Here is an 11,629-nt window from a genome sequence, read left to right as displayed (position 1 = left end):
GTCCCCTCAGTCCCAACCCCAAGCGTCGCTGAGTCTTTCTAATTTTCCTTTTCTACAGACCCATCTGACCTCTTCCCTTCTCCCCAGGCTGCTCCTCACCAGGCTGAGCTAGGTCCCAATTCTTGCTCAGCCTCTGCTCCTCCACCCTATAATCCTTTTATCACCTCCCCTCCTCACACCCGGTCCGGCTTACAGTTTCGTTCCATGACTAGCCCTCCCCCTCCTGCCCAGCAATTTACTCTTAAAAAGGTGGCTGGAGCTAAAGGCATAGTCAAGGTTAATGCTCCTTTTTCTTTATCCCAAATCAGATAGCGTTTAGGCTCTTTTTCATCAAATATAAAAATCCAGCCCAGTTCATGGCTCGTTCGGCAGCAACCCTGAGACACTTTACAGCCCTAGACCCTAAAAGGTCAAAAGGCCGTCTTATTCTCAATATACATTTTATTACCCAATCTGCTCCCGACATTAAATAAAACTCCAAAAATTAAATTCCGGCCCTCAAACCCCACAACAGGATTTAATTAACCTCGCCTTCAAGGTGTACAATAATAGAAAAAAGTTGCAATTCCTTGCCTCCACTGTGAGACAAACCCCAGCCACATCTCCAGCACATAAGAACTTCCAAACGCCTGAACCGCAGCAGCCCGGCATTCCACCAGAACCTCCTCCCCCAGGAGCTTGCTACAAGTGCCAGAAATCTGACCACCAGGCCAAGGAATGCCTGCAGCCCAGGATTCCTCCTAAGCCATGTCCCATCTGTGCGGGACCCCACTGGAAATCAGACTGTTCAACTCACCTGGCAGCCACTCCCAGAGCCCCTGGAACTCTGGCCGAAGGCTCTCTGACTGACTCCTTCTCGGCTTAGCGGCTGAAGACTGACGCTGCCTGATAGCCTTGGAAGCCCCGTAGACCATCACGGACGCCGAGCCTTAGGTAACTCTCACAGTGGAGGGTAAGTCCGTCCCCTTCTTAATCAATACGGAGGCTACCCACTCCACATTACCTTCTTTTCAAGGGCCTGTTGCCCTTGCCTCCATAAGTGTTGTGCGTATTGACAGCCAGGCTTCTAAACTAAAACTCCCCAACTCTGGTGCCAACTTAGACAATACTCTTTTAAGCACTCCTTTTAGTTATCCCCACCTGCCCAGTTCCCTTATTAGGCCGAGACACTTTAACTAAATTATCTGTTTCCCTGACTATTCCTGGATTACAGCTACATCTCATTGCCGCCCTTCTTCCCAATCCAAAGCCTCCTTTGCGTCCTCCTCTTGTATCTCCCCACCTTAACCCACAAGTATAAGATACCTCTACTCCCTCCTTGGCGACCGATCATGCACCCCTTACCATCTCATTAAAACCTAATCACCCTTACTCCGCTCAATGCCAAGATCCCGTCCCACAGCACGCTTTAAAAGGATTAAAGCCTGTTGTCACTCGCCTGCTACAGCGTGGCCTTTTAAATCCTATAAACTCTTCTTACAATTCCCCCATTTTACCTGTCCTAAAACCAGACAAGCCTTACAAGTTAGTTCAGGATCTGCATCTTATCAACCAAATTGTTTTGCCTATCCACCCCATGGTGCCAAACCCATATACTCTCCTATCCTCAATACCTCCCTCCACAATCCCTTATTCTGTTCTGGATCTCAAACATGCTTTCTTTACTATTCCTTTGCACCCTTAATCCCAGCCTCTCTTCGATGTCACCTGGACTGACCCTGACACCCATTAGGCTCAGCAAATTACCTGGGCTGTACTGCCGCAAGGCTTCACAGACAGCCCCCATTACTTCAGTCAAGCCCAAATTTCTTCCTCATCTGTTACCTATCTCAGCATAATGCTCATAAAAACACACGTGCTCTCCCAGCTGATCATGTTCGATTAATCTCCCAAACCTCAATCCCTTACAAAACAACAACTCCTTTCCTTCCTAGGCATAGTTAGTGCGGTCAGAATTCTTACACAAGAGCCAGGACCGCACCCTGTAGCCTTTCTGTCCAAACAACTTGACCTTACTGTTTTAGCCTAGCCGTCATGTCTCCGTGCAGTGGCTGCTGCCGCCCTAATACTTTTAGAGGCCCTCAAAATCACAAACGATGCTCAACTTACTCTCCACATTTCTCGTAACTTCCAAAATCTATTTTCTTCCTCATACCTGATGCATATACTTTCTGCTCCCTGGCTCCTTCAGCTGTACTCACTCTTTGTTAAGTCCCACAATTACCATTCTTCCTGGCCCGGACTTCAATCTGGCCTCCCACATTATTCCTGATACCACACCTGACCCCCATGACTGTATCTCTCTGATCCACCTGACATTCACCGCATTTCCCCATATTTCCTTCTTTCCTGTTCCTCACCCTGATCACGCTTGATTTATTGATGGCAGTTCCACCAGGCCTAATCGCCACACACCAGCAAAGGCAGGCTATGCTATAGTACAAGCCACTAGCCCGCCTCTTAGAACCTCTCATTTCCTTTCCATTGTGGAAATCTATCCTCAAGGAAATAACTTCTCAGTGTTCCATCTGCTATTCTACTACTCCTCAGGGATTATTCAGGCCCCCTCCCTTCCCTACACATCAAGCTTGAAGATTTGCCCCCACCCAGGACTGGCAAATTAGCTTTACTCAACATGCCCCAAGTCAGATAACTAAAATGCCTCTTAGTCTAAGTAGACACTTTCACTAGATAAGTAGAGGCCTTTCCTACAGGGTCTGAGAAGGCCACCGCAGTCATTTCTTCCCTTCTGTCAGACATAATTCCTCAGTTTAGCCTTCCCACCTCTATACAGTCTGATAACAGACCAGCCTTTATTAGTCAAATCAGCCAAGCAGTTTTTCAGGCTCTTAGTATTCAGGAAACCTTTATATCCCTTATGGTCCTCCATCTTTAAGAAAAGTAGAACGGACTAAAGGTCTTTTAAAAACACACCTCACCAAGCTCAGCCACCAAATTAAAAAGGACAATACTTTTACCACTTTTGCTTCTCAGAATTCAGGCCTGTCCTCGGAATGCTACAAGGTACAGCCCATTTGAGCTCCTTTTTGTTAGGCCCCAGTCTCATTCCAGACACTGGACCAACTTAGACTGTGCCCCAAAAAACTTGTCATCCCTACTATTTTCTGTCTAGTCATACTCCTATTCTCCGTTCTCAACTACTCATACATGCCCTGCTCTTGTTTACACTGCCGGTTTACACTGTTTCTCCGAGCCATCACAGCTGATATCTCCTGGTGCTATCCCCAAACTGCCACTCTTAACTCTTGAAGTAAATAAATAATCTTTACTGGCAGGACTATGCTGAATCTCCTTAGGCACTCTCTAATCAGATGTCCTAGGTCCTCCCAATTCTTAGACTTTTCCATTTAGTTTTTCAATTCATACAAAACCGTATCCAGTCCATCACCAATAATTCTACATGACAAATGTTTCTTCTAACAACCCCACAATATCACCCCTTACCACAAAATCTTCCTTCAGCTTAATCTCTCCCACTCTAGGTTCCCACGCCACCCCAATCCCACTCGAAGCAGCCCTGAGAAACATCGCCCATTATCTCTCCATACCACCCCCCAAAAATTTTCGCCACCCCAAGACTTCAACAGTATTTTATTTTTCTTATTAATATAAGAAAGCAGGAATGTCAGGCCTCTGAGCCCAAGCCAAGCCATCGCATCCCCTGTCACTTGCATGTATACATCCAGATGGCCTGAAGTAACTGAAGATCCACAAAAGAAGTAAAAATAGCCTTAACTGATGACATTCCACCATTGTGATTTGTTTCTTCCCCACCCTAACTGATCAATGTACTTTGTAATCTCCCCGACCCTTAAGAAGGTACTTTGTAATTCTCCATACCCTTGAGAATGTACTTTGTGAGATCCACCCTCTGCCCGCAAAACATTGCTCTTAACTTCACCGCCTATCCCAAAACCTATAAGAACTAATGATAATCCACCACCTTTGCTGACTCTCTTTTCGGACGCAGCCCGCCTGCACCCAGATGAAATAAACAGCCATGTTGCTCACACAAAGCCTGTTTGGTGGTCTCTTCACATGGACGCACATGAAAAAAACCAAATTTACAAGAGTCACCATCCAAAGAACTAAATTTTACAAATATTTTTCTCTTGCTAATGCAAATTTGGAAAGGAAAAGACAAAGAGACTTCTACTATCCTCCTTCAGTCAGACTCTACAGACAGAAATACAGGAGGGTGACTTTAGTAAGAACTTTTGCCTTTTGCCGACTTTGTCAGAGATCCTGGATCTCAACTTTAGCCTCCTGAGCAAGTGAGATGTCCTTGCTGTCCCTTAATGGTTGCCAAAACTCTTGGTGAGGAGGACTACTTCCCTCTTCTTTCCTAGGTTCGCTGACTGGGGCCTTGGAGATTAAACTGACAAAAGACAAACTAACAAGAGAAGGACGGCTAAATTACATACCTATGCAGGGAAGTTTCCACAAAGAACTAAGACTCAAAGTGGCAGCCAGATGATTTAAGCTTCTGTACCATCTTAGGCTGAGCAGAGGAAAAGGGGTTTTGGGCTGCTGAAGGGAGGAGGAAAGTTCTAGGAAGGTGAGGGGAAGAAATGTATAGTAAATAACGGTTGTATTGTTATGCAGATAAGAGTCTCTCGGGTGATAACTACTGTCTCCAGGAGCAGCTCTCTTCCCTTACAAATGGAAATTTCCTTTATAAATGTAAATTTTCTGTACAAAAGGGGGACGTTATAGTTCATGTTAGGTGATTAGGGGGAAGTAAAGAGCTTTTACTTGGTCTGCTGGTTCTCTAGTGCCTTTAGCTCCAAATAACCTGTGTGCCAAAGTGACATATTTTGGGGTTGCATATTCTAGTATGCTTCAGTTTCAGGAAGAATTTTATTTTTTTTCTTGTGGAGATTTTTTTGAGATAATTATTTTTTATCCCCATTTTTAAAATTATTATTCTCTTTTTTTGGTGAGGCTCTCCTTTGAAATTGTTTTTTGTTTACATTTTTTGTTGTTGTTGTTGTTAATAACATCTCAGGCAATCTTGAGAAGCTGCCTCTCCTTTTCTTCATGTCTTTTTTCCCCAAATAAATAGATCTGAACAAGACATCTTTTATACTTTTTTTTTTGAGATGGAGTCTCACATTGTTGCCCGGGCTGGAGTGCAGTGGCGCAATCTTGGCTCACTGCAACCTCCGCCTCCCGGGTTCAAGCAATTCTCCTGCCTCAGCCTCCCGAGTGGCTGGGATTACAGGTGCCCACCACCACGCCCAGCTAATTTTTTGTATTTTTAGTAGAGACGGGGTTTCACCATGTTGGCCAGGATGGTCTCAAACTCCTGACCTCGTGATTTGCCCGCCTTGGCCTCCCAAAGTGCTGGGATTACAGATGTGAACCACCATGCCCGGCCTATAATTGCTAATTTTTTTCTGATCAGTTTTTATTTTGAAATTTATTTTGTCAGTTTCCTTTCTGTCAACTGCTGCTTTTGTTCTGTATGGGAGCAGATCAAGTAAAACAGTGCCTGTTTTACTCTCTCTCATCATCTTACCTTAGCTCACGCTTCTCTCATTTGTTCTTATTATGCCTGTAACCTCTCTCTTCCTTCCACTTCCTCTCATTAACAATTTCCTATTGGAAGTCTCTTGAGTTCCAGTTAGCGAGCCTCTAAATTATCCTCTTTTTAACATCACCTTTGTGTTTTCCGGCTTTCAACATAGTTTCTTCAGACTTTAACCTCACCATTTATGTTTGCTTTCCAAATCTCTTTTCAAAATTTTGCTAAATAAACCTCACCGTGTAAGTGAGAAAGCATGGGATGGAAAAAGGAATGTATGGAAACGACACCAACATAGGCGTATGGTTGGGTGAGTCACTTGGCTTCTCAGGGCCTCGCTTTCTTATCTATAAAAATGAACAGGTTGGCTTAGCAAGGGCTTTAAACTCAAAAGCTGCCAATAGAGTCCAGACAGATTATGTAAATGAATTAAAGGAGGCCAGCCAGGGACTGTGGGAAACTGCAGACTCGAGCAACGTCCAAAGGGCACGATCACTGCTCGGCTTTTCGTACTGCCACCGGGAAATGCTGGCAATGTAGGATCCACAGATTTTCTGGTTTCCCAGCAGTAATCAGGAATCTGGACTTTTAAAAAATGTGAACTGTTCTTTTTTAAATGCTGACAACTAATTCAAACTATGCACCAAACAAAACACATCACATCTGTGGGCCAGATTTGGCTCCAAGGCTGCTGTTTGTGACCTTTAGATGAGATGGGGTCTTTAAGTTTCTTACAAGTCAAAAATTGCATAACTCTTTAGCAATACATTTTAAACCTAGCTAGTTCTCCCTTATTACATTCCTGAAATTGCTTCCTTGTCACTTGTATTTGTTGGGCTGTCAGTCTCCCAAGTGAGCACTCTGGAGTTTGTTATGAGAAGAAAGTGCAATTTCTTTTCCCTTTGCCTCTGACATAAAGTAACCTAGTGTGTTGCTCCCAGACCCTTATCACCAGTGTCTGCAGAGTGTGTGTGATCTCCTTGGATGGCTGACTCTGGGGTGCAGGCAGGTCCTGGAATAAGCAGCCTCCTTGCAGAGTGACACACACTCCTCTGTTCCTTTGTCTGGATGCACATTTGTAGTCCTTTCATATATTTTGTATAATGTTAATTTATAAACTAGTCTAAGTAGGCTGGGCGTGGTGACTCACGCCTGTAATCCCAGCACTTTGGGAGGCTGAGGCAGAAGGATCACTTGAGGCCAGGAGTTCGAGACCAGCCTTGCCAATATGGTGAAACCCTGTCTCCACTAATAATACAAAAATTAGCTGAGTGTGGTGGTGCATGCCTGTAATCCCAGCTACTCGGAAGGCTGAGGCAGGAGAATTGCTTGAACTTGGAAGGCGGAGGTTGCAGTGAGCTGAGATTGAGCCACTGCACTCCAGCCTGGGTGACAGAGCTAGACTCCATCTCAAACAAACAAATAATAAATAAGCTGGTCCAAGTAGGAGGAAATGCAACAGTGAAAAAACACTTGAGGCTCAGAAGCCCAGGGAAAGGAATGAATGATAAACAGTAAAAAAATAGAGGAAGTACCTGACAATAACACGAAAGCCGAAGGATAGTTATTAACTTCTGTCATATCCCATTTAGTGACACCTTCCTTAGAAATTTCCCCCAAAGGAGTTCCTTTGGTCATTTCCTACAATGTAGTCTTCCTTGGGCCTGGACCCTGCTGTCTGAGTTCCTCTCCATCTGGGGACTTGATCCTCTCTTTCTCTCCCTTTTTTTTTTTTTTTTTGCGATGAAGTCTCACTCTTGTACCCGGGCTGGAGTGCAATGGCGTGATGTTGGCTCACTGCAACCTCCGCCTCCTGGGTTCAAGCGATTCTCTTGCCTCAGCCTCCCGAGTAGCTGGGATTACAGGCACCTGCCACCATGCCCAGCTAATTTATGTATTTTTAGTAGAGGCAGGGTTTCACCATGTTGGCCAGGCTGGTCTCGAACTCCTGACCTCAGGTGATCCGCCCGCCTCAGCCTCCCAAAGTGCTGGGATTACAGGCGTGAGCCACCGTGCCCGGCCTCCATCTTCTCTCTTCTAAGAGCTGTCAAATTTTTTCTAGTTAAACTGACCGGCTTATGTTCTCTCTTTTATCACCCTTGGTCACTCATGAATAGGGCCCATCATTTCCTCCCTATACATGGACCTTGAGAATCTTTACCTTTCAGTGTTTCAGTGGAATTGACTATAAGTTTCTAAATGACCCTGAAGATTAGAAAGAGAGGCCAGGTGCAGTGGCTCATGCCTGTAATCCCAGCACTTTGGGAGGCCAAAGTGGGAGGATTGCTTGAGCCCAGGAGTTTGAGACCAGCCTGGGCAACAAAGCAAGACCCTGTCTCTACAAAAATTTAAAAATTAGCCAGGTGTAGTGGTGTATACCTGTAGTCCCAGCTACTCGGGATGCTGAGGCAGGAGGACCACTTAAGTCCAGGAGTTTGAGCTATGTTTACATCACTGCCCTCCAGCCTGGGTGACAGAGTGAGATCCTGTTAAAAAAAAAAAAAAAAAAAAAAAATTAGAAAGAGCATAAGGTTTGAAAGTCAAGGATCAATAATATTAAGGAGAGAAAAACTCTCCCAACAAGTTAGCATTTCTCTGAGGTAGCAGGAAGTATTACTGATAAAATTAGGGATTCACACATTTATAGAATTGGGAGACATCTCTCAAACTATAAGTTCTCTACAAGAATCTTCGATTTCTTAATTTTCATGATTATATAGAAATATATGATTTTTTTTTTTTTTTTTTGAGATGGGGTCTCACTCTGTCACCCAGGCTGGAGTGCAGTGGCACGATCTCGACTCACTGCAACCTCCGCCTCCTGGGTTCAAGTGATTCTCCTGCCTCAGCCTCCTGAGTAGGTGGGACTGCAGGCATGCGCCACCATGCCTGGTGAATTTTTGTATTTTTTTAGTAGAGACGGGGTTTCACTATGTTGGCCAGGCTGGTCTCGAGCTCCTGACCTTGTGATCCGCCCACCTTGGCCTCCCAAAGTGCTGGGATTACAGGCATGAGCCACTACACCTGGCCAGAAATATATGATTTTTTTAAAAGCAAGGTCTGAGTCATTTTATAATCTCTTAACCAAGGACTAATGTGCAGTTTCAGGTAATTCATTTGAATTTCTGTTTATGACTAAAGTGTTGCCAACTATTCACCTACACTATCATCGTTAACTCCTAGTTCAGTACTTCTCAAGTATTTTCTTCAAGAAATCCCAGGGATTGCTGAATATTAAGTTGAAGAAATGATTGGGGTATGATGCAGGGTATATGAATATGCCACCTCAAAATATGCCTCTTTGTCATATAGATTATTTTGAGTTAAAGCCAATTGAAAACTATCCGATGCAGGAAAAGCTCCTGTCTCCCTGTGACTGCCTGAAAGTAGAGTATACATTTCCCCTTTTGTAAAGGAAATTTTCATTTGAAAAGGGAGAGGGCTGCTCTTGGAGACAGCACTCAGCACTTGAGAGACTCTTACCTGCTTAACAACACAACTCTAATTATTTCCTCCCCTCACCTTCCTAATACTTGCCTCCCTCACCCCAAAGCCCCAAATCCTTTTTTCCTTTGCTTAGCCTGTGATGATACATAAGCCTCAATCATCTGGCTGCCTCCTTGAGTCTCATTTATCTGTGAACGTACCATGCATAGGTATGTATGAAACTGTTTTTCTCTTGTTAGTCCACCTTTTGTTGGTTTAACTTCCAGGGCCCCAGTTAGAAAACCTAAGAAGGTAGAAGAAAAACTATTTTCCTCCTCTACAATGGTTAGGAACCAGGCCCTGAAATGAGATATTTTTAGACGTTATTTAACCCAGCAGGTTATTTTACCTCTAAATTTCCTCATCTCATGGGGATGCTAATAAGGTTTAAATAAAATCATGCTTAAAACGTACTCAATACAGTGCCTGGTATATAGAAATCACTAAAAATAATGCCAGCTACTTCTACTATATGATTACTACTACCAATGCTGGCTACTTTTAAAACATTGTCACCTATTCTTGTTTTTTGTTCTATTTTTTGTCATATATATTTAATCTAATATTTCAAAATAGTACACAGGCACAGACTTAGGAGACAGAGTTGGTGGTTACTGATATGTTATGATCTGAGGTACCCTATGAGGAACTACTTAATGCTATTAAAAAAAATTTTCCCCCACCACTAAATTTCTGTAATTCAAGATTCAATCCTTATCCTTTTAAATCAGAAACAGCTAGCTGTCTGCCAGAATTTGTGCTTCCCCTTTAGAGAATGGACTTGTCACTGGAAACTGCTCAGACAAGGAGTTTGTCTCCTCATGGACCTGATGTGGCCTTCCTTCCTTCCTTCTAATCTGTGGAATATGAGCAGAAGTGAGGTGTGGCATGTTCAGGTCAAGATTTAAGAAGAAGGTATATTTTCTCCATTATCTTTCTCCTTCCACCAGCTAGATTCATTTGCAGATGTTGCTCTAGGGGAAGACTGAGCCACAAGATGGAAGAAGACTAGATACTTGAATCACACTATGGAGGAAAGATGACCACCAATGGGACATATGCTTTGGGTGGTTAAAATAATGAGAAATAAACATCTATTAAGTTTGAGCCATAAATTTTGGGGTCTATTATCTACTGCCTCTAACATTACCCTAATTAATAAAAAAATTGATACCTTGAAAAAAGTACTGCTATAATAAATACCTAAAGTAACTATTACTCTCTGAACACTTGGGTAGCAGGTAGCAACCCCTCCACCCCCCAAAACAAACAAACAAACAAACAACAACAACAACAACAACAAAAAACTGGTGTTGGGTGCTGGAAAGATGGAGACCCAGGACTGGAGTGCAGTGGCACAATCTCGGCTCACTGCAACCTCTGCCTCCCGGGTTCAAGCAATTCTCCTGCCTCAGCCTCCCAAGTAGCTGAGATTACAGGTGCCTGCTACCACGCCCAGCTAATTTTTGTATTTTTAGTAGAGACAGGGTTTTGTCATGTTGGCCAGGCTGGTCTTGAACTCCTGACCTCGTGATCTGCCCACCTCGGCCTCCCAAAGTGCTGGGATTACAGGCATGAGCCACCGCACCTGGCCTTGGCAAAACATTTTAAAAACCATATTTATGATAACCTAAAAGACAGTATCCATTTCTACAATGGACCAATGACTGCTATGTATCCACAATTCTTCCCTTTCTTAATAGGAGCTTCTATTGTGGTTATCTTGTCCCTGTCTTATCATTACATATTAGAGGGGCAGGGAATTTTTTTTATATGTTTGTGTATCACCAAAGTGAAAAGAGCTTTAGATGAGAAGACTTCATATCACCCAGAGATGCTGGTCTTTGAGCTGTATGCATGAACTGGATAAGAATTTAGCATGTTCTCCATCTTGCAGTGTCCTTAGAATGAGGAAAGAAGGGTGTATATACAGATACTTGGTGAAAAGAACAGCTAAATGAGGAAGAGGCAAAATTTCTCCTCCCTCTTCCGTATTATAAACCAAATTTCATCTAGCCTAAGATTCCATTGATTGTAAAGCACACGCTGTGTATGTACTACCAAAAAGGAAAAATGCTGCCAACCAAATCTGAGTTTACCTTGAATAATAAACTTGCCATTGATTGAACAATACATTCCTATTGAAGAGATGTTAAAATGTGAAAAGAATGTGCAAATCCAGATTGATAAAAAACTAATTTTTCTGAGAACTGGCTGCCCATCAGAGAGTACATTTCTCACTCCCTTGCATCCAGCTGGTGCCCGGAGACTAGTTCTCACTAACAGAGTGGACTTGAAGTGTGTTACTTCTAGGCCAGGCTCTTTAAGATGTGGGTAACTTCTCCACACTTTCGTTTTCCTTCCCTGGCTGACATCAGGTGAAAGTGAGGTTTAGGAGATGGCAGAGTCACAGGAAAAACAAAAAAAACTTCGATTCCTGAATCTCCAAATGGAGGAAAGCCACCCACGGACCCAGATGGAGGAACACCCATCCTGGCCTGTGATGTAAGCAAGAAGTAAACTTTGATTTTGTTTAAGGTATATATTTTCAGTATTTATTTGTTACCACAGTTTATATTATCCTAATTAACACAC

At 43.4% G+C, this 11,629-nt stretch overlaps 4 annotated features.

The window, feature by feature from the left end:
* Nucleotides 3,332-3,893: an enhancer, noted in NCBI's record as "NANOG-H3K27ac hESC enhancer chr12:11762881-11763442 (GRCh37/hg19 assembly coordinates)". NCBI's record gives its function as "activates a minimal SCP1, AML or CMV promoter by ChIP-STARR-seq in naive H9 embryonic stem cells {active_cell/tissue: H9 hESC(naive)}" and the evidence as "EXISTENCE:reporter gene assay evidence [ECO:0000049][PMID:30033119]".
* Nucleotides 3,894-4,455: an enhancer, noted in NCBI's record as "OCT4-NANOG-H3K27ac hESC enhancer chr12:11762319-11762880 (GRCh37/hg19 assembly coordinates)". NCBI's record gives its function as "activates a minimal SCP1, AML or CMV promoter by ChIP-STARR-seq in naive H9 embryonic stem cells {active_cell/tissue: H9 hESC(naive)}" and the evidence as "EXISTENCE:reporter gene assay evidence [ECO:0000049][PMID:30033119]".
* Nucleotides 4,456-5,017: an enhancer, noted in NCBI's record as "OCT4-NANOG-H3K27ac hESC enhancer chr12:11761757-11762318 (GRCh37/hg19 assembly coordinates)". NCBI's record gives its function as "activates a minimal SCP1, AML or CMV promoter by ChIP-STARR-seq in naive and primed H9 embryonic stem cells {active_cell/tissue: H9 hESC(naive and primed)}" and the evidence as "EXISTENCE:reporter gene assay evidence [ECO:0000049][PMID:30033119]".
* Nucleotides 8,931-9,225: a silencer, noted in NCBI's record as "tiled region #654; HepG2 Repressive non-DNase unmatched - State 23:Low". NCBI's record gives its function as "represses a minimal TATA promoter and a strong SV40 promoter by Sharpr-MPRA in HepG2 cells {active_cell/tissue: HepG2}" and the evidence as "EXISTENCE:reporter gene assay evidence [ECO:0000049][PMID:27701403]".

The sequence above is a fragment of the Homo sapiens genome, chromosome 12 (assembly GCF_000001405.40).
Source record: "Homo sapiens chromosome 12, GRCh38.p14 Primary Assembly".
NCBI classification, from domain to species: Eukaryota; Metazoa; Chordata; class Mammalia; order Primates; family Hominidae; genus Homo; species Homo sapiens.
This window is presented reverse-complemented; position numbering and strand designations above follow the sequence as displayed.